This window comes from Homo sapiens, chromosome 8 (genome assembly GCF_000001405.40).
Source record: "Homo sapiens chromosome 8, GRCh38.p14 Primary Assembly".
Lineage (NCBI taxonomy): Eukaryota > Metazoa > Chordata > Mammalia > Primates > Hominidae > Homo > Homo sapiens.
Window position 1 is genome coordinate 122,811,607 of NC_000008.11, and position 22,633 is coordinate 122,834,239.

At 47.0% G+C, this 22,633-nt stretch overlaps 1 protein-coding gene across 20 annotated transcripts in view; it reads left to right on the forward strand.

Moving 5' to 3' along the window:
• ZHX2 (zinc fingers and homeoboxes 2) overlaps positions 1-22,633 on the forward strand; it is a 194,132-nt gene that overhangs the window by 31,228 nt on the left and 140,271 nt on the right. For 2 of the 20 annotated variants that reach the window (XM_011516932.4, XM_005250836.6), the window contains exon 1: positions 10,362-11,158. The exons of 17 other annotated variants lie outside the window; for them this stretch is intronic. The gene's annotated coding sequence lies outside the window, so the exon portion shown is untranslated. Of the gene's footprint in view, positions 1-10,361; positions 11,159-22,633 lie in introns of those variants that run through there. One more of the 20 variants, NM_001412808.1, reaches the window with a different exon arrangement.

Sequence of the window (22,633 nt, forward strand, 5' to 3'; positions counted from 1 at the left end):
AATCCCATCTGTGATGTTTGCAGGAGAGTAACTGAGTTGAGAAATGGTCCGTGAGTGGCTGTCACCTGCCAATCAGGCCTTTAGTCCACTTTCAGGGGGGAAGAGAAGGAAGGTGGGATGGTAATAGGTCCAGAGCGTTTACGTAAAGACCCTTTCTCGTGGAAGGAAAATGTGTGAGAGGTAAGAATCCCCCTTTCACATTTAAGAAAGTTGCCAAGAATTTAATAAGCACTCACTTTGTGTATCAGTGCTCTTCATGCATTCATTCAATAAATCACCAACTATCTATTGATCACCTGTTTTGTACCTGGTTCTCTTCTCAGGCTCTTGGGTTCAAAACAGAAAGAGATTCCTTCTCTCATGGAACTTACATTTTTGGACTGAGGAGAGACAGACAGTAAGCAATAATCATGATAAGTAAGGAAATCATAGACTATGCTAGAAAGCGGTCATTGTTATAGAAAAACAATAGTAACCTTAGACTCGAGGGAAGTGGAGGAGTGAGCCATGGGGCTTTCTGGGGAAAGAGCATTCCAGGCAGAGCGACAGCTGGTGCAAAGACCCTAAGGCAGGAGCGTGCCTGAGGGGTGTGAGAAAAGCGAGGAGTCCGATGTGTGCAGCAGAAAAGGCCATGCATTCTGGAGATGTGGGAGCCAGATGGAAAAGAGCCTTATGGGCCACGGTCAAGACCTCATGCCTTTCAGAGTGATGTGTTATGTGGTTCACACCCCGTAGCAACTCTGTGATAGTTGTTGTTCTTATTATCCCTTTCTTTACGTGAATGCACTGAGATACATTGCCAAAAGCCCCCTTTATTTTACAGCTGAGAAAATTCATACCCAGAGTAGGGAAGCAACTTGCCCAAGGCCACAGAGTGGGAAAAATGGCACGGAGCTAGGGTTCGGGTTCCCTGATTCTTGGTCCAGAACCCTTTCTCTCATGTCTCTGCTCCAGAAATGAACTTCTTTTGAAGGAGGTGACTCTGGGCCTCTCTTGAAGATTCAGATTAGATCCTGGAGCTCTTAACACTGTGCTTTGCTGCCCAGATCTTCTATGTTAACTACAGTATTTCCTTCCTAGGAAGAGGTTTAACATGGAAAACCTGAGAAAGGCTAACACATTAAACATGTATGTTAGTAAATCCTGGAGGAGGGAAGGAAGGCCATTGACTGGTGACATGGCGGTGGCATCAGTCATAGTAAATACTGATACCAACTGATTGCTTCCCATGTGCCTGGCCCTGTTGTAAGCTGGTGAAGTGTGATAGTTTAAGTATTCTTTACCACTACTCTAAGAAGTAGGTACTGGGCCAGGCGCAGTGGCTCCCGCCTGTAATCCCAGCACTTTGGGAGGCCAAGGCAGGCGGTTCACCTGAGGTCAAGAGTTCATGACCAGCCTGACCAACATGGAGAAACCCCATCTCTACTAAAAATACAAAAGTTAGCCGGACGTGGCGGCACATGCCTGTAATTCCAGCTACTCGGGAGGCTGAGGCAGGAGAATCACTTGAACCTGGGAGGCGGAGGTTGTGGTGAGCCAAGATCACGCCACTGTACTCCAGCCTGGGCAACAAGAGTGAAACTCTGTCTCAAAAAAAAAAAAAAAAGAAAAAAAAGAAGTAGGTACTGTTGCTACCCTCATTTTACAGTTGAGGAAACTGAAGCAAGAAAGATGATCTAACATGCCCAAGGTTACTCTGAAAGTCATAGCCAAGAGCATGTGTCCATTTCCCATGGGTGTCTGGGGAATGCATCAGAGCCGCCTTTCAGTTTCCTATGTTGTGACCTGAAAGACGCACCTCCCTTATAGCTTCCCATCAGACACAAAGACTTTCAGAGCTTGACTGGCATGATGACTTTCAGACATCTCCCATGAAAGAAGTCGCCAAGTAGATGCCATGTCTTATCCCCTCTCTGACACAGAGCATGAGTGTTTCCACTTGCTGTTATTTGAGTAGAGAAAGAAGTCATCCCATGGATTGAAAACAGGACTCAGTACAGGTTGAATATCTCTTATCCAACATGGTTGGGACCAGAAGTGTTTCAGATTTTGATTTTTTTTTAATTTTGGGATATTTGCTGAATACATCCCTGTTGAGCATTTCTAATGCAAAGATCCAAAAAATGGAATGCTCCACTCAGGATTTCCTTTGAGCATCATGTCAGGGCTCAAAAGTTTTGGATTTTAAAGCATTTTGAATGTCAGATTTTTTATTAGGGATGCTTAACCTGTATATGCTAATCTGCTAATTATGATGATGACTGGCATTTATGTAGTGCTTATTCTCTCCAACAGACTATCACATACGGTCATTACATCATTCAGTCCTCCAAGGATTCTGGGTGGTAGACATTCTTGTCCCCATTTTATAGATGAGAAAGCTGAGATGAATTGGTGAAGCCTAAATGATTTGCTTAGTCATACTACTGATAAATTTCACAGAGAGAGAAGACTGGAACCCCAATCCAGACCCAAAGTTCGCACTACTAATCTACACTGGCTGAACAGCTGCACTCTGAATATAGCCTTTGCAACTCCCAGAGGCAACAGATCATGAAAGCCCACATGCATAAAGAGCCAAGGCAGCTTCCTGGGGTATCTACTTAGACTCAAAAAATATTAAGTAAGCCAGTTGCTAGGATTGGCTCTCTACTAAAAAGATTGTTTTTATTCTCCGGGAACTGGCTGGCTGCATCTGTTTCACTGTTGGATTGCTGAAGGGTTGACACCCACTGGCCACATTTAGGAGTTCATGTTGATATTACTGTTGTGAAAAAGCACATATTGGTCCTCACCATCTATATGACTGTGATTATTTTTCTCTCTTCCATTTCACGCAACTTTTGCTCACAGCCTACTTGGCATAATTGACACATTGGCTCAGGCCACCAAGACTGCCAACTTGGAGCCTTGGATTAGTTAGATCAGTTATGACAGATGTGATTATTTACAAGAAAATAGAAGTCACTATAATTAAACCTTCCAAGGAGTACATTTGGGTGGAGAATGAGAAAGCACAAGTTTAATCTGGCATGATGTGTTTGGATTTCAGCCCTGAGCAGGTTCTTCTCTAGCTCATGAAAGGAGGTATTGGGGTGTCTGGCACCCTCTGTAGACACTGCCATCTCTCAATTCTCCTGACACAGCTATTGATAAATGGAAAGACCAGGTGGTAGAGTTAGCATTAGTTGGGGTACCCAGTAGAAGTGGGTTTAGTTCTCAGCTCAGCCACTGGTCCCTGGCATCGGTTTGTTTTTTTAATCATAAATGGGGATAAAAACATAATCCCTACCTCATCCTAGGTCTGGGAAAATTAGCAGTGATAAAGTAAGACAGGTGTGGAGCATTGTGCCCAACATAGGCACTGAGTGTTAGATGTTCCTGCCTTTCTTGAGCCCACAACTTAATCTCCTTGAGTCTCGTTTTTCCATCAGAAAATATAGATGATGAGCATCTTAACAGTGGATGTGAGGGTTGGAGGAAATGAGGTATATGAAAGGGGTTCATAATCATTTGTTGCTGTTTCAGACCTGTCTTTCTGTTATTATTTTTATACAAATCTTAATAGTTCCCATTTATTGTACGTACCACGGGCCAGGCACTGCAGTGGGCAGGGTCGGCTTCTCCGTTAGGTACAATAGGCACAGTGCCTAGAGTCTGTGATACTTTGATGGGCCCAGAAAATGCTCATTTTTATTGCTCTTAAAATCAGAAGGAAAAAAGTGAATATAAGAATAATGAATATAAAATCAAATATAAAAATAATAAATACAGGCATACCTCATTTTATTGCACTTCACTGTATCACGCTTCACAGATAACTGTGTTTTATAGCAAGAGAACTAGAATTAGAAGTGGAGCCTGAAGATGTGAATGAACTGCTGCAATCTCATGATAAAGTTGAACAAATGAAGATTTGCTTCTTATGAATAAGCAAAGAAAGTGGTTTCTTGAGATGGAATCCACTCCTGGTGAAGATGCTGTGAACATTATTGAAATGACAACAAAGGATTTAGACTATGACTTAAACTTAGTTGATAAAGCTGCCGCAGGGTTTAAGAGGATTGACTCCAATTTTGAAAGAAGTTCTACTGTGGGTAAGATGCTATCAAACAGCATCGCATGCTACAGAGAAAGCTTTTGTTAAAGAGTCAATCGATGCAGCAAACTTTGTTGTTGTCTTATTTTTAAAAATTGCCGGCCGGGCGTGGTGGCTCATGCCCTGTAATCCCAGCGCTTCAGGAAGCTGAGGTGGACGGAACACCTGAGGTTAGGTGTTCAAGACCAGCCTGGTGAAACCTCGTCTCTACTGAAAATACAAAAATTAGCCAGGTGTGGTGGCGCACACCTGCAGTCCCAGCTACTAGGGAGGCTGAGGCAGGAAAATCACTTGAACCCAGGAGGCGGAGGTTGCAGTGAGCCAAGATCACGCCACCACACTCCAGCCTGGGCGACAGAGCAAGACTCCGTCTCAAAAAAAAAAAAAAAAAAAGGGAGATTGCCATAGCCACTCCAGCCTTCAGCAACCACCACTCTGATCAGTTAGCAACCATCACCAATAAGGCAAGACCTTCCACCATCAAAAGGCTAAAGGGGCAGATGATTATTAGCATTTTTTAACAGTGAAGTATTTCAAATGAAGGGTGTGCATTTTTTTTATGTGTACTGCTGTTGCTTATTAGACTATAGTACAGTGTAAACATAACTTACTGCACTAGGAAATCAAAAAATTCATGTGACTCACTTTATTGTGATACTTGCTTTATTGCAGTGGTCTGGAACTGAAGTCTCAATAGCTCCAAAGTATGCCTGTAATAATAAACATAATAATGAATCTATCTTTTTTTTTTTTTTTTTTGAGACAGAGTCTTGCTCTGTCGCCAGGCTGGAGTGCAGTGGAGCAATCTTGGCTCACTGCAACCTCCGCCTCCTGGGTTCAAGTGATTCTCAATAATGAATCTGTCTTATGTCCATCTTTATACTGATACAGTTGTAAAGCCTCATTTTTATTTAGTTATTCTTTTTTTTTTAATAGAGGAAGGCACCTACAAAACGAAAGTGCCTAGGGCTTACAAAAGTCATATGCAGCCTTTACAAATATTAGCTCAGTCATTTTCAGAAAGGTTTTTCCAATTATCATTTTAGAGATGAGGAAACTGAAGCTCAGGGAGGCTAGGAAACTTATCCAAAGCCTCTTAAGAGGCTATGTTAGTCAGACTGGGCTAACAGCTGTAACAACCCCAGAATTTAAATGGCTTAACACATTAGGAGTTTATTTGTTATTGCCATAACAATTCAGGGTGTATGTTTGGCAGGTAGTCTACACAGTGATTCAGGGACCCAGGCTCCTTCCCTCTGGTGGCTTTTTCTCCCTCTAGTGCTGGGAGCTCTCCATGCAGATGGTGGATGGAGAAAGAGAACAAAAAGTGGGGGATTTTTATAGGCCAGGCCTGGAATTGGCCCACATCACTTCCACACACATTCCACTGGCCAGAATGCAGTCACGTGATCGTAGCTAACTGCAAGGAAGGTTGGAAAATGTAATGTAACTGCATGCCTGGGCTAAAGAGAGGAACACGGATCCTGGGGAGTACTCACAGTGTTAGATTCCAGTCCAGGTCTTCTGCACACAATGCCCGCGTGCTTTCCACACCCTCCTTAGCGATTCTTATCACTCTTAGCTCCCACAAGTCCCCTTTACAGGCCCTTTTATCCTGCCCCACCTGCCCACTCACTGTGCCCAGCACCAGACCTTTGCCCACTCAGGATCAGTTGCCGTATGAGGCACTAGGAAGAGGAATGCATTGGGGAGCTTACCAGGCCAACTTGAAGAGGCTGCAACCAGATGTTATGCTCTCTGTATTGCCCAACCCCAGGCCCACAAGGCACTGCTGGGCACACTACCTCCTCAGCATGGGAAAAGGGGGCTGCAAAGAGGGTTTCAGAGGGCCAGGAAGAAAAAGGTTTGAACTGAAGTCTTGGCTGCACTATGAACCTTGGGCAAGGCATCAGCAGTAAGGGGACAGTGCCAGATGATCCTGCACACTAAAATACCACAGTTCTGTGATTACTGCCTCTTGCCAGAAGTGAACTGTGTGGCCCTGCCCCTGACCCATCATTGTGCTGCCTTTGGACACCCATTATCCTACAAGACAAAGCTACAGGAGCCAGCTGGAGGCTAGATGGCCTGTGGACACTTTCCTGTAACTGCTGGGCAGGCCTGGTGACCCTGGCAATGGCCTGGTGATGCTGGTGTTGGTGGGCACCCCACTCCTCTAGGATCAGGCCAAAGCTGTCTATTATGAGATCCTTGAGTGGAATCAGCATGTCTCCCTCCTCCAGGAGGCCTTCCCAGATTGCTCAGCCCTCAGTGTTCCCACCTCTTCAAAGCTCAGGGCACTTGTTATCATTCAACCTAAAGGTCCTGGCTTGCCTCATAAGATTTCTCATCATCACCCCCTTTTTATTTGCTCTTGGCTTCGGAGGCAAGGAATCCAGGACTATGTTTAGAGCCAAGTGAGTCAGGGACTCTCCTGAGCACTCTGTAAGCGTCAAATGCTGCAGGGCATTGGGTCAATTCTAACATTTCATCCAGATTTACAGTCGGACTGGGTTTTTGTAAAGAGAGAGTTGGCGCCCAGGCAACATCCTTCTCTTTATTTGGGGTTGAGAAAAGCACACTAAGGAAAATTAAAAAAAAAAAAACAACCATTTTGCCTATAGTCATCTGAAATCTTCACATTCATACCCCTCGTGTCTGCAAGGCGAATATGACCATGTTTCATCCCCATGTCTGTGTTGGACACAGCGTAGTCTCAATCAGACCCGGTCACCTCCCTTTGCTGCCATTTGAGAGCTGATCGATGCTGGACCCGCTCCCTCCTCCCTCTCTGCCTAGTTTCTCGCCCCTCAGATTAGGCTCTGTCTGTGGCTAGCTTGAGGGGTGGCCATGAGGCCTAAATGAGGGCGTATCTATATGGAGACAGCACTTGGCCTGGGGCTCTCCCACATTCCCTGTTAGTCTCTCACACAGGCACAAAACCTTGCTTTAAAAATGTGTCTTACGATGAAACTTGGCATCCAGGACGCGCCCCGTGAGGAATTTGTTTTTGTTTTAATGCCGAGGACGTTTGCATGAAAACAGGATCTTCGTTGCTTAGGAATTGATCAACTCCTGCTGCTGCTTTTCCCTGCTGAAGTGCCAGTCCCATATTTGTCACAGGCAAACCAGTAACTGTAGGGATGGTTGGGACCTCCACAGATAGAGGATGGTGGCTGCTCAGGGGTATGCAGAGGCCATGGAGCCAAAGGAGAGAATCAGGAACCCATCTCAGGCAGCAGCAAGCTCGCAGATAGACCGCGTCCTTAGCCATAGGACCACAGCAAGAGTGAAGATTTTTTGTGGGTCTAGTTTGTTCTAGATGCTCAGGGGAGAAGAGAACGAAGAGAGAAGGCATTAAGACTCAGCCTCCATCTGCAAGGAGCTGAAGGCCTTCTTGAAGGCCAGATGGGAGGCCAGTGCATGAGAAGACAGTGGTTAGACCCAAAGTAACAATGAAGACCCCAGGCAACTGAGAAGAGCCAGTGCCTGCAGTGGGAAGGCTGGGAGTGAGACCGGGATCTGCCACCTACCCACGAGGTCACCTTGAGCAGGCTGCCTGACCACTCTGCACCTCTGTTTCCTCACCTACAGAATGGCACTCTCCCACCAGAGCCTTATGAGATGCTCCATGCTAAATGCATGGCATAGAGTAAGCATGCCAGCAGTCCAGACCGTTATTCCCAGCATGCGTGCTCACAGTAGATGCTCTCCATCCTCAGGAGGAGATACAAAGATGGCCATAGAAGGCTTTTTAGAAGAAGGACTTGAACTTGGTTTGAAAGGAGGAGAAAAAGATTACCTGGGAACAAGAGTGTTCCTGATGTTCAAGTGGCCAGACTGGGACACATCTGCTTCCACTGCAGTCAGTTCCTAAGGAGGTTTTCCAGGCACTATCCAAGAAACCAAAGTAGAATTGCCCGCATGAAATTGGAGGGGGTGTCCTGCTCCATGGGGACCCCAGCTCATTTTTGGCCTCAGCCTGGCCCCACAGGCATCGGCATAGAAAGGACAAAGTTGACGAGAGCCCAGACTGGGCACTCCACTGGGTCAGGCCCTTCCTTTGCCTCCAGGCTTGGCTTCCAGAAGGCAGTGAAGTGGTTACATCCAAATACCCACAAGAGGCCGGACACCTTTCTCTCCCGTATCCTTAATATATGCTAATCAAAGCTGAGAGCCTGCAGAAAATATCTGCTTGGCCAAAGCCCCACACCCTCGCCTTGGCTGGGCTGCCCACCCTCCCCAGGCCTCCCCTCCCATCTGCCTAGCTAAAGGCGTCCATAAATCCAGCTTTCAGAGCTCTCAGGGGTTGGCGAGACTGCCATGGACCTCAGTCACATCACGATGGAAACAATTGAAAACCACTTGGCAAAAAGAAGGGGTGATCTAATGTTTGATAGCAAGAATACATTTTTTTTTCCTTGCCATTCTTACTCAAACCCAGGGGGAAAAGCCGGCTGCTCTCCAGTCCCTGTCAGATCAGTACCCCCAGGGTCCCTGACTCTTGTCCTCTGTCCCAGAGGAAGTCCAGGCTGTGGGGCTGGCTGTGGCCTCCTCGCAGGCCAGGGAGGAGCAGAGCTGGCCCTGCCTTTCTGACTGGCCAGGCTGCCTTGGGCCCCTCAGAGGCGAGGAGATGGCCACAGGGGCCTGTGGAGAAGCCCATATATAGAGCCTGGGGAATGTGGGCCTCTGGCAGGCGGCCTGGAAAAAATGGCCGTGTTCTGAGGGTGAACGCCGCCGAATTATAAATAGCACCCGCCTCCCTCCCCTTCAAGCTTGCTGTGTCTGTCACTGGAGAGTTGACAGTTAAAATTCAAGAGGACTGAACAGGACAAGGGAGCGGGAGCGGGGGATGGGGGAGATGCCGGATTGTGCAGGAAGCTCAGCTGCTGTCTTGGGATTGATACGGAGAATAGTCACCAGACGACGGGGCTGAGAGAGGGATGCATTTGGGGTGGCAGAATGACTCCTGATTTTATGCATTTTTATAAGCTGAATAAGAATGGAAGGAAAACTAAAGGAAGCTTCAACTCCACGAGATGGTTTTATGGGTGCTTTAGAGCCTTTAAAAATAATAAGAATAAAAATCAGCTGTCTCCGAATATTAAAGGTGTCTCTCTGGTTCCGAAAGGTCAGCCACCCTGGCTTCCAAATCAAAGCCAACGGCCAGGTGCCCACACAGGCCCGTGCCTTGAGCCTCCTGCCAAAAGGTTTCTTAGTGTGTTTTTATGTCTCCCTGACATGGAAGCAGCAGGGATGTTTCCCCAGCCCCTAAAACCTCTGCACATTGTGCTCACCCAGCAGAGGGTGATGATTCAGGAGGAGTCAGAAATAAAGAAAGGAAGGAGTGTGCAGCCCTCGCCATGGAAAGCCACACAGCCGTTCACATCTGGGTAGCAGTGAGGGGTGGGCAATGTTCTCGCGAATTCTAGATTCTGGAGGAGGGGTGCGCTGGTTCTGCAGGGACCAGGAGTCCCTCTTTGTGTCCTTGGATCTGCTGGCAACTCCTGGGAACCAGCTGCCAGGCTTCCTGACTTGCTGCCCAGCCCTGCATGGACGGGAACTAGAGTTCTGCTGGGCGCTGGGATGGGATACAATGGAGGTGCCTAGGGGCTTGTTGGGGGCTGGGCCAGCTCCGTGGGCATCTGTGCCTCCTCTGTGAGCAGGCTAAGCTATAGTAAGGGCTTATCTCCTTTGTTTTAACAGTTGGGGCTTTGGCTTCCATAGCAATGATTTGCAAATAGGGTAATTTATTGGCTTCTCTCCTCCTGCCTTGATAAATCTCATATCTTACATCCTTTGGAGCCTCATTTGAAATCAAACACTTAAAAAAAAAAAAAAAGGAGCACTCATGCCTTTGTTATCTTTTGGACACTTCTCAAAAGAAGATCCCTGGACCCCATAGGATGCAGGCAACACAGAGATGTGAGGTGAGAGCGGGTAGACATTAGAACTTGACACACAGTGATGCTACAGGCATGACTTTATTTATTTATTTATTTATTTATTTATTTATTTAGAGACAGAGTCTCAGTCTCACCCAGGCTGGAGTGCGGTGGCGCGATCTCGGCTCACTGCAACCTCCAACTCCTGGTTTCAAGTGATTCTCATGCCTCAGCCTCCCGAGTAGCTGGGATTACAGGCATGTGCCACCACGCCTGGCTAATTTTTGTATTTTTAGTAGAGACAGAGTTTCCCCAGGTTGGCCAGGCTGGTCTTGAACTCCTAACTTCAGGTGATCCACCCTCCTTGGTCTCCCAAAGTGCTGGGATTACAGGTATGAGCCACCGTGCCCAGCCTAGTGTGACTTTAAAAGTGTGCTTCTAGGAGCCCTATTGAGAGAGGATGCCTCGGAGGCCCAACAGTAAGGGGACTTCCAGACCCTGGCTCCTATGTCAAGCAAAGCAGCTCTACTCTTACTGCTATTAGGTATTAGATTGCATTTTGAAAAAATGAATTTCATGCCTTAAAATGCTTGGAAACCAGTATCATAACTTACCCCACGATTTTAGTGCTAAGTGAACGAAGGCCCAGCGAGTGAAGGGGATTTTCTGAAGGTCAAGACCTCCACTTGGGTTGCTGCTGTGATGGCGGCTCTTGTTTTGGGAAGGGAAATCCCAGAGGTTGGAACCAAAAGGGACCTGAGAGAGCATTTTATCAACCCCCTTCCTTCAAAACTGAGGCCCAGGGAACAGTGGGATTTGCTCAAGGACCAGCGAGTAGCAGACCTCAGACTTGAAGCCATCTCATAGGAGGCATGCTCGTAAAAGGAGGCCTGATGTGCTATAAAAACTGCAAATGGCAGGATTTACCCTGATGGAGACAGCTTCCCGGAGGAAGTGGTAACTGAGCTGAAAAGATGACTGGTGAAAAGAAGGTGACGAGAGCCTCCCAAGCAGAGGGACTGCTCCTGGGTTTGGTCCAGTGCTCATCTCCCCACTCCTGGGAAGCAGAGGTCCGGAAAAGATGACAGCTCTCTGGGTAGACTCTTCCCATCTGTCTCTGCATTGACTTCTTGCCGGGTGAATGTGGGAAGCCAGCGACATCACCACCTGCCAGGTAAGGCCTGTGCCTGGGCTATCGGAGTGGTCCTCCGGTGGGCGCGGAGCCCGGCGGATGGTGAGTGGAGACTGCTCCCGAGAGAGGCGTTTCTGCTGGAGCTGGGCAGGTGGTGGCTCAGTGTGGCAGGCTGGAAGGCTTGCTGCAATAGGACTTGAATACATAATGTACCTCATCCGATTTCAGCTGTGAGAAAGTCCAGACAGCCTCCTCTAGACAGGAAAGGACGTTGCAGGGACAGGTGGTATGTTTTCTGTAAAATTCCCTATGAGCTCCTTGGGGAGAATGTTAGTAACCCTCTCAGGATGTGTCCTTCCCATGAATACAGCGTGTGTCCTGGTCTGGGTCCCAGATCCTGTGTCTGGTCTTTGGGTGCCAAATTTATTTATTCCTTTATCAAGACAGAAGGAAATCTTGGGCAAAGGTCCCTGGAATTGGGGACCTTGATCATTGTCTCTTGGCCACACTTTAAAATGAATAACATGTTCTTTACAACAAGTAACATCCTAGAAGAAGGATTCCTGTTCTTATACTCAGCTCTCTCTGACATGTGAAAAACTAGCATCTGCTCAGGCCTGCAAAGGCCATCTCGTCTAACCATGGGTTAAATGTACTCTCCATCTTCATGAACCCTGCAGAATCAGCGTGAATCCAGGGCAGCTGGGGAGAGTATGTGCAGTGCTTTTCCAACCCTGAAGTCGAAGCAGAGACCTCCCAGTTGGGGGTGGGTGATAAGACTCCTACATGAAAGGTCTTACTTTGCATTTATGAGATTCAGAGTCCCCATTCTAACATGAGCACCCAGGTCTTGGGACTCTGAAGATCCCACTTTCTACTCCGACTGTCTCCATGCCCACTTTCTCAAAGCAGGTTCTCAGAAGCAGTCCTGCAAGATGCTCTGTGACAAAGAGGTTCCCTTGTCATTTCAGTTTGGGAAATGCATACTGATCTAATGCATATTAGATCTCTGCTCAGATATGGACAGCTCTGAGGGGTCTTCCCAGACCAGTTACGGCTGCTGTTGACACCTTCTATCCACTCATCCTGCTCAGTTCTTCTTCAGAGTACTTTTACCTCCTGATTTCATATTTACCTGTTGACTTTTGCGTTGTCTGTCTTCCACACAGTAGTGAAGCTCCATGCTGTAGGGCACTTGTCTGTTTTGTTGAAGACTGTATCCCTGGCACCTAGAACACTGTCTAACTTAATAAAACACTGTGTCGAATGAACACATGAATCAATTCAGACATTCAAACCCTCAGAACTCCTCCATATATAATTCTGTTTAATTTTGTTGAGCTCAATATTTTTTCAGACTTCTTTCCCCTTTTCTTTCATGCCTGTCTCATCTCATCACTTAGTCCTGAGTCAAAGCTGACCCTGGGAGGCCGGCCTTGTCCACCCTGTGGAAACCTGCTCTTTCTCATCACTAGGATGCATTTTCTTTATGGCATTAATGACTGGCAGAAATTAGCTTGTGTACTTGTGTACTTATAAGTTCACCTGTGCATTGGCTCACTCGCTGATCTCAGCTCCATGAGGACAGAGGACAGAGCCTGTCCCATGCACCACTGACTCTAAGTGCCTAGAACAAACAGGGCCTAGGAAATGCTCAGTAGTGATTTGCTGCATGGAGAGATATTGTCCAATGAACCCTCACCCACAGCCCATAGAACTGAAATTCTACCGAACATGCTCGGGGACGTGCTGTTCTCTGTCAACCCTCGCAACAAGTTGTCAGCCATTGTACAGTGCCTGTTCCCCTCTTCCATCAAAATACAAAGTGTCAGAACTGGAATGTACCTTAGATATCATCCAGCCCAGTGCTTATGTTTTTCGGAGAAAGAAACAGAGGGTCCAAGAGGATCACTGGTACCAATATAGGGCCGGTCCCCTGGGTCCCCCATCTCTTGGTCTGATTGTCCTCCTGTATTAGTTTTCTATGGCTGCTGTAACAAATGACCAAAAACTGATGATAGAAAACAACAGAAATTTGTTATTTGACAGTTCTGGAGTTTGAAAGTCCAAAGTGGACCTCACTGAGCTAAAATTAGAGTGTTGGCAGGGCTGTTCCTTCTGGAGGCTCTGGAGGAGAATCATTTTCTTGCCTTTTCCAGTTTCCAGAGGCTGCCCATGTTCTTTGACTTAACAGCCCCCGTCCATCTTCAAAGCCAGCAGTGGTCAGTTGAGTCTTTCTCCAGCCGCATCATTCCAACATTGACTCTCCTGCCTGGCTCCTTCATTCATAAAGACCCTTGTGATCACATTGAGCCTACCTGGTTAAGCCAGGATAATCTCCCCATCTCAAGATCCTGAACCTAATCGCATCTGCAGAGTCCTTTCTGCCATGTGAGGGAACATAACTGCAAGTTCTGGAGATTGGAATGTGGACATCTTTTGAGGGTGATGGCACTATTCTGCCTGCTGCACCTCCAGTCACACCATCTGCCTGTTGGTATATCCTCTTGCACATGCACATTCTCCCCTGATGACCCCCACACCTTCTGTGCCCCATTGTCACAGTACTTGTCACATTGCTTTATAGCTGGCTTAGTGCCTGGCTGCCTGGCTGGGTCATGACTCCCTTATGGCCGGGGCATGGTCGTTATACTCAACCACTGGCACATCTCTGGTACTTGGTAAGCATGTGGGTTGTTCTGGCTGCCTTGGCTGAGCTGTCTTCCTACACCCCATCCCTGTTCTTGTTCAATGATCTTAAACCGCCTCCCTCCAAGTCCTAGTTTTCGAGCTCTGCCATGGGATCAGGCCTCTCTGAGGTCAAGAGAGATCCTGGCCACCATATTTTAGTCCATGTTTTTAGTCTCCTGACATATGAAGATATGCCTCTGTCAACCAGGGGCTCAGAGTCCATGACCTCTAAGTTCCCTTCTTACCAACAAGAAGTGCATGGTTTTTGGCAAAATGGCTATAATATTTGGTAAAGAAGCTGATTCACCTGCAACCTCAAAGAGAGACTCCTGGTCTGTAATTTATCCTTCTCCATATGCAGGTAAGTGAAATGGAGGGCTACAAAAAGCAGGACAATGTCATTTGTCAGAAACCACGCTGCACCAACCCCTTTGGACCTAAATTAATGTATTCCATCAAGCCATAAATTCCCCTCTCCCCCTCTCTTTATTTCCTCCTTCATTATCCCCTGCTCTCCAGGAGGAGTTAACAGACAACTCAAGGATACATCTCACTTACCAGGGGCAGGACTTGGGCTCTGCTCAGAAAAGAAGCCCATTATTCCCGAATCTGTGACTCTAAGGGTGATCACACCTTCTGCAGCTGAAGGGAGTACAAAGAAACACTTGAGCCTAGTGGCATCAGCCCTATTTTCTTCACTAGAGGGAAAATGGGCCATTATTCTCGCCTTGCTCCATTCCCACCAGCCCTGGGTTTAGCAGGTTCCATGCTGGACACTCCAACAACATATTAGCATATTTTGCATTTAAAAAGGGCTTGGAAAATGAATTAAATGATTGGCATGGTGTTCCCAACGGTTTTTCCCAAACTACTAGTAATTGTGTGGTTTTGAAATTTGCCATTTCTGCCTGCCATGCCCTCAGCCTGGCAGCCAGCTTAATCAGGAGACACTGTACCAGGCGGGGGCATATTTTAAGGCTCATGATACCCAGTGATTGTCAGAACAGTACCTGCAGACTTGCTAAAGAGAACCTTGTCCTAGTTTTTCAGCAGAGCTTGCAGTTCATTTTCCTTCCTTACAGAGCTGAGATTTATACCAATTAGAATCTTCTTTTTATGAAAGGGTCTGGGTCAGCCCTTTGAGGTTGCTGAAGCGCCGGGCAGTGTAGACACCATCCAAATCCTGACACGGAGCTAACAGAGGTGCAGCTTAGGGGCGGTGCTAGGGAGTGTGCTTGTTCACAGCGCACGGCACTGCTCTAGCCAAAAGGTCTGTGTGTAAGGGGCGATTGTCTTTGGAAAGGTGGAAGCTTCTAGAATGTGTTCGGAAAAATGTGTTCAGATCCAACTTCTTCATTTTTCAGGCAAGAGAGAGAGAACCCAGAGAGACTGTTACATGTGCAGGGTCACAGCCATTTTTACTCTTCTGTGAGAGTAGAATTCAGAGTCTTCTGACTCTTAATATAGGTTTGTTAATTTTATAAGTCCATGGAAAAGAAAAATTAACCAAGAGTTAAGAGTTTTAGGTTGAACAGGGTTCCTAGGCGGAGGTGAGAAAGCCTAGGATGGATGAATTTAGAAAATGACAAGCTCTGAAGGCACCTTAGGCATTTTTATTTTTATTTTATTTTCAGGCAGGATCTCGCTCCCAGGCTGGAGGGCAGTGGCTCTATCTCGGCTCACTGCAACCTTCGAATCCAGGCTCAATTGATCCTCCCACCTCAGCCACCCAAGTAGCTGTGACTACAAGTTTGCGCCACCATGCCTAGCTAATTTTGGGGATTTATTTGTTTGTTTTCTCCCCTGTAGAAACAGGGTTTCGCCATGTTGTGCAGGCTGGTCTCAAACTCTTGGACTCAGGTGATCTGCCTGCTTTGGCTTCCCAAAGTGCTGGGATTACAGGTGTAAGCCACCACACCCAGCCTACGTAAGCTTTTTTTTAACTACCGAGGATTGTTATTCATTAATATAATTAATGATGATAACAATAGTAATACTTGCTAACATTTGTGTGCTTTCTCAGTGCCAAGCACTGTGCCAAGTGCAGGACATGTATTAGATCACTTAATTGTTGCAACAACTCTGTGAAGAAAGTTGGTACTAATAGAGCCCTGTTTTACAGATGAGAAAACTGAGGCTCAAAAAATTAAGTAACAGACCCAAGGTTACCCAGATCTGTCTGACTTCAGAATCAGAATCTTTAGGGGAAAAAAAGAGAATCTGACTTCAGAATCAGAATCTTTAGGGGGTGAAAAAGGAGAGAATCTGTACATAAATAATTAAGAAATGGGATTCTCAAGGTCGGCAGCCCTCTTTAAAGTATTTAGGTTGGTGCAAAAGTAGTTGCAGTGAAAAAACCACAATTACATTTGCACCAACCTAATATTAAATACAGAGACAAGATGAAATAGAGAAGAGCTGGATGCAGTGGCTCATGGCTGTAAGCCCAACACTTTGGGAGGCCAAGGCAGGAGGATCCCTTTGAGCCCAGGAGTTCAAGACCAGCATGGGCAACATGGCGAGACCCTGCCTCTACAAAAAAATTTAAAAATTAGTTGGACATGTTGGTGCACAACTGTAGTCCCAGCTACTCGGGAGGCTGAGATGGGAGGATCACTTGAGCCCAGAAGGTTGAGGTTGGAGTGAGCCATGATCTCTCCACTGCACTCCAGCCTGGGCGACAGTGAGACCCTGTCTCTAAATAAATAAATAAAAGAGAAAAGCTGGCTCGCAGGAGAGACCTAAGGGCACCTAGACAGCACTGGCCAGGAGAGCAGAGGCGAGTGCAGCGTATATGGAACAAAAGCACCCCTGTGGAGTGGACAGAAGCACAGACCTAGGGCTTAGGAGAGGAATGAAACAAAAATTCCTGTTTCTTCAGGAGCTGAAGATAGAGAAAGTATCTGTACAGTGCATGTGCGTGTGTGTGTTAGTGATATGGAGGAAGAGGATCTCACTCACACACCAGGAGACTGGAGGGAGGGTGCATTCTTATGCTGGCTGAGCATAAGGGTCATTACGTGGTCACTATGTGGATAAGAGTAACAGAAGAGAAACCAAAACCCAGGAAGACAGGGAGAGCTGCGGCCCACGAATGCATCTACCAGTGTGCAGCTAAACCCATGGCAGGAGACGCTGTCCTTGTGACATACCTTGTTGACCAGAGAGCTCCTCATGCTCTGTGTAATAACTAGGCGGGGCCATGGGCTGTGGGGGATGTGCTGGCGGCAGCCCTGGTGGCCATGGGCACTGAGAAGGGACTGCTCTGAGGGAATGAGTGGTTCATTTAATCGCAGGTGTGTTCCCACGCTTCGCAGGGCTGATGGATCGTGCCTGCAAAGGGGTTCTTGGAAGGCTCATTCTAGGTTGTTCTCATTGGGAATATAAATGAAGTACAACCGGTTTGGGCTCTACCCAGGGTGTTGTAGGTTTTTATTTTATTTTATTTTATTTTACACAGAGTACCCAGGAGATGGCAGATAATAATTCATTTATTTATCCACTACAAATTGAAGAAATTGATCTTTTTTTCAGTTATTAAAACACTACATTTCACCAAAAAGAAAACATTTACTTAACTCTGAGCCATTTATTAAATAGAATATTATAGAACAATTTGAAGTTAGGTTATGAAGACTCTGTAATAGTAAGGGTAGCTGCTTGCATGGGACATTATGTAAAATGAGGACTATATGTAACATATGTGTAGTGGAATAACATTTTCTGAAGGCATACAGATATGCCCAAAGATGGACAGATCAAGCAGCTTGCCTAAAGCCACACCGCTGGTAAATGGCTGAGCCAGGATTCATCAACCTAGGAAGGATGTGTTTTCTTAATCACAGCTAAACTAAACTACCAAGGCTATCTTATGGTACATTCCAACTTCAAATCTGCAAATCCAAAATCATTTGTTCAACTCTGCAAAAGTTGCATCAAACAAGGCTTGTTAACTTTTACTGTCACAGAAGCTTCAAGAACTTATAACAATGCTTAGAGTTGGGTAATGAACTATGCTAGTTTTTTCTTTACTTTTCAAAGTTTATTTAATGTGCTTATATTCTCTTTATAATGACATGGACGTACCTACATCCATACAAATCAGGGAGAAAATGAGAATAAGAACAATATGAAAACTCTCCCACCTCATTGTAAGAGTTGGGGAAAAACATATTTCTATTTGAGCACTGTTAGGAACCACACATGAAAGATTGGTCCCACCTTCAAGTGCTGAGGAACAGGGTAGAGACCAAATACACAAGCAAGTTTCTGTGACAACAGTTGAAAAGCTATAGCTGTAAGAGTTGAGTGTTCTGAATTTTCAGAGTGCCAAAAGGATATAAAATAAATGACCCCAGCCAGAATTCATCTTGACAAGCTTTCTGCACATATAAGGTGAGTTTGGAGAGACATTTACAAGTAGCAATGGCCTTCCCTCAACTGGTGGAAGGAATGGCATAGGCAGATTGTGAAGTGGAGCCCTGTTGGTGATGAAGAAGTGGGTTTGACACTAGGGAGAGTCTGAATGTGCCACATTGAGGGACGGAAGCATGTTAAGTTTTCAATATTGTCAGAGCTATTTGAACCAGAGCAACTCCATCTTGAATGGAGGCTGGGTAAAATGAGGCTGAGACCTACTTGTAAGGTTCTTGTATCAGTTCAAACCCTGAGCGTGTGCCGACAGACAACAGGAGGCGGTGTGGAGCAACTTGCTGTTTTAATGAGAGCCTGGGTGCACACGGGCTGAGGCCTAAAATGGCGTCAGCACCAAGTGAGGACGGGGCAAAGGATTTATAGTGTCCTGTAAACAGGAAGTGTCCTAGTCTGATGTAACTGCTACGTTGTACCCAGATGGCCTGTTTCTTGATCTTCAGGGGTACGTGTCTTCCAGCTGGCCTTCTTCCTGCTTCTGCTATTTTGCTGGCGCACACTGCTGGCACAAGTAGCCTTGCACCTTGGGACTGGGCCTGAGAAGGGAGGAGTTATTCATCCCCTTAAGCTTTCAGGCCCCGGGGAGAATCTTACATTCCTGTCTATTTGGTTATAGAAAAGGGAAAAGGGACAACTTTCTTAATAACTACTTCAGGCGGGACATAGGGGGTGGTGTGGGCACGTTGGAAAAAGAAAACCTTAATTTTTAGGTATTCTTGAGAGATGGGTTGGTATTCACCATGTCGTTGTAGCAGGAGCATCGCCTGCATTGTCTGGAAATATGTCTGTGCCTGCAAGACAGTTATGTTGAGAGGACAAGGAGGTGTCGACAGGGAGAAGCATGGCCTCATCTGCTGCTTTATGAATGAAACACCGTGTCTGGATTAAGGAGGGGAGGTAATTACTGCGTGGCTCAGAGTCTGGTAAGGATGGAGGCCCTAAGACAAAAGTTTGGCCATACATGATTTTAAAGGGACTATAAAAAGAGGGTGCTTTTGGTGTTGCACAGTTTCATGAGGGCAAAAGGGAGATGTTTTGTCCACAACTGGCGGGTTTCTAGAGCCAGCTTGGTGAGTTGGGCTTTAAGGACAGGGTTAATTTTTTCAACTTTGCCTAACGATTGAGGCCTGTAGGGTGTGTGGAGAACTTACTTTATTCTTAAGGATGTAGAGTCGCCTTGGGTAATTTAGCTGATGAAGGCGGGCCCGTTACCAGAGTGGATGGATGTTAGGAGTCCAAAACAGGGAATTATATGCATAAGAGTTTGTGTGACAATATTTGCAGCTTCTGAAGTTGTCGGGAATGCTTCTACTTATCTGGAGAAAGTACAGACAAAGACTAGAAGATAGCAGAGCCGTTTATCGGGCGGCATGTGAGCGAAGTCTACCTGCCAATCTTGCCCAGGTACCTGGCCTCGGGCTTGGTGGGTAGGAAAAGGCGGCGGCCAGAGGGAGCCCTGGGATGACACTGAGTGGCAGATAGAGCAGGACTGGGTAATTTATCAAACATGGCTGGAAAGGTGAGGACAAGTGAGGCTAGGGCGGAGACGTTACAGGAGAGGTTTGTAACCAACATGGAAAGACTTGTGGAGGCTTTGGAGGTGAGGAAGGCTTTGAGAGTGAAGAAGAACGAAGCGCCCTTCTTTGACATACCATGGTCCTTGCTTTTGAAGGTTTTGGGCTCGGAAGTCCTCCTTTTCTTCTGAGGAGTAAAGCGGAGAGAACAAGGACAGGGACAGAAACTGGCCTTGCACGGGTTGTAGGGCCACTTGTTTGGCTACCTGATCTGCTAGCACATTTCCAGCCAATATAGGATTGTCTGGGGTTTGGTGGCCCCTGCAATGAATGATGGCAACTTTTTGCGGGAGCCTGGCAGCTTTAAGGAGCTTGTTGATGAGAGAGCCATTTATGGCAGGAGTGTTTTTTGCAGTTAGGATACCCCGTTCTTTCCAGATGGATGAGTGTGAGTGCACTATGTGGAACACATAATGAGAATTTGAATATATGTTGATCTGTTGTCCTGCTGCTAGAGTGAGAGCTCGAGTGAGGGCGATGAGTTCAGCTTCTTGGGAGGTGGTGCCTAGCGGGAGGAGATTGGCTTCAATAGTGTGCATGTGGGGTGGTGACACTACAGCATAGCCAGCATTCTGGTGTCCTTGATGTAGGAAGGAGCTGCCATTCAAAACCAAGTAAAGGAGGCATCTGGAAGGGGTTGGTCTGTTAGGTTTGGAAAAGGTATAAGGAAGGTTTGAACAGTGTTTACACAGAAATGTGTAGGGTCTTGGGCAGTTGCAGCTTCAGGTAAGAGCGTGGCCGGGTTTAGATGGGAGATGGTTAGACGGTGATGTGGGGAGTTTCTACGAATAGAGCATACAGTTGGAGGAGCCGTGGGGCAGAGATGAGACTTAGTACACTGCGGTGAGCTAGCTTGTCTTTGATGTTATGGGTTGAATAAACTGTTAGTTTGGCTTGGAGAGATAGTTTTAGGCTTTCAAGGGTGAGGACAGCAGCTGCCGCCAATGCTCAGAGGCAGGCAGGCCGTCTGAGAACTGTGGCTTCAAGCTGTTTGGAGAGGTAGGCAACAACCTGGAGGGTGGGTCCCTTAGACTGGGTTAGAACACCAGTACAACTCCACGCCGTTCGTCGGTATAGAGGGAGAAAGATTTGGTGAAGTCTGAGAGAGTGAGCACGGGGGCTGAGGTGAGAGCCTTCTGGAGCAGACAGAAAGGTTGGGGAATAGGCTGTGCAGGGTTTGAAGTCTTATGGAGAGGGCCTTTAGCAGCTTAGTATAACGGTTTGGCAAGTAGAGCGAAGGAGGGAACCCAGAGCCTAAAATATCCTGCTAGTCCTAGAAAAGAGAGAATTTCTTGCTTAGTTTGCGGAGGCGGGAGGGACTGGAGGAGGGATATGCGGTCGGTTGTGAGCCCTCGGGTTTGCAGGGTAAGAGCTAGGCCTAGATAGGTGACCGAGGAGGTGCATATTTGTGCTTTCTTAGGGGAGACCTAATACTCCCGTTCTGCCAAGAAGTTTAAAAGAGATAGTATGGGCGTTGCAGTCCCTTTGAGAGGGGCTACACAGGAGCAGATCATTAACACATTGAAGGAGAGTGGACGGTTTTAGGGATAAGGTAAAAAGGTCGCAAGCAAGGGCCTGTACGAAGAGGTGGGGGCTGTCTCTGAAACCTTGAGGTAGTACACACCAGGTGAGCCGACGTGAAATGTGGGTGTCAGGATTTTCCCACATAAAGGCAAAGAGGTTTTGGGAATTCGAGTGTAAAGGAATTGTGAAAAAGGCATTGTTTAAGGTTTAGAACAGAAAAATGAGTGGTATTGGAGGGAATCGTGAAAAGTAAAGTATATGGGTTAGGAACTGCTGGACATACCGGGAGTACAGCTTGGTTAATGAGCCTGGGGTCCTGGACTAAGCATTAAGTTCCATGTGGCTTTTTAACAGGTAGAATTGGTGTGTTAAAAGGGGAGTTTGTTGGGCGGAGTAGGCGACTGGTGAGGAGGTGAGAAATGATAGGCTTTAGGCCTATGAGAGCTGCTGAGGAATGGGATACTGCTTCTGTGATAGGAACTGGGTGGGCTCTTTAACAGTAATGCGGACGGGGGTGTGGTGTTCTGTGACTGAAGGTGTGGAAGTATCCTAAACTGCGGAGTTAACTACGGGCGGCGGATAAGGAGAAGTTGCATGTTTTAAGGTGGGAGGTTGGAGGAGTAGAAGAAAGTTAGATGGCCCAGAGGAGTCTGGGTTGATGCGTTGGGTACTATGGGGAATGTGGATGTGGAGAGTAGTGTGGCGTTTTGAAAGGATGTCTCTGCCTAGGAGCGGAGTTGGGCATGAGGGCAGGACTAAGAAAGAGTGAGCGGGCCGGGCGCGGTGGCTCACGCCTGTAATCCCAGCACTGTGGGAGGCCGAGGCGGGTGGATCACGAGGTCAGGAGATCGAGACCATCCTGGCTAACACGGTGAAACCTCATCTCTACTAAAAAATACAAAAAATTAGCCGGGCGTGGTGGTGGGCGCCTGTAGTCCCAGCTACTCGGGAGGCTGAGGCAGGAGAATGGCGTGAACCCGGGAGGCGGAGCTTGCAGTGAGCTGAGATCGCGCCACTGCACTCCAGCCTGGGCGACAGAGCAAGACTCCGTCTCAAAAAAAAAAAAGAGTGAGTGAAGGAAAAGGTGTGCAGGGAGCAGAAAAGTGGAGGGCTGGCTCAGGGTTTGGAGACTTGTCCCTCAATTCCCACAACGGAGACTTGGGAGGACTGGGTGGGTCCTGAAAAATTAGGTAAAGCAGAGTAGGTTGCCCGGTATTAATTCAAAAATAACATACCGGCCCACCTGCCACCATCAGGGTTACCCTTGGCTTGGATGAAGTGATGGTAGTTGCCAGGG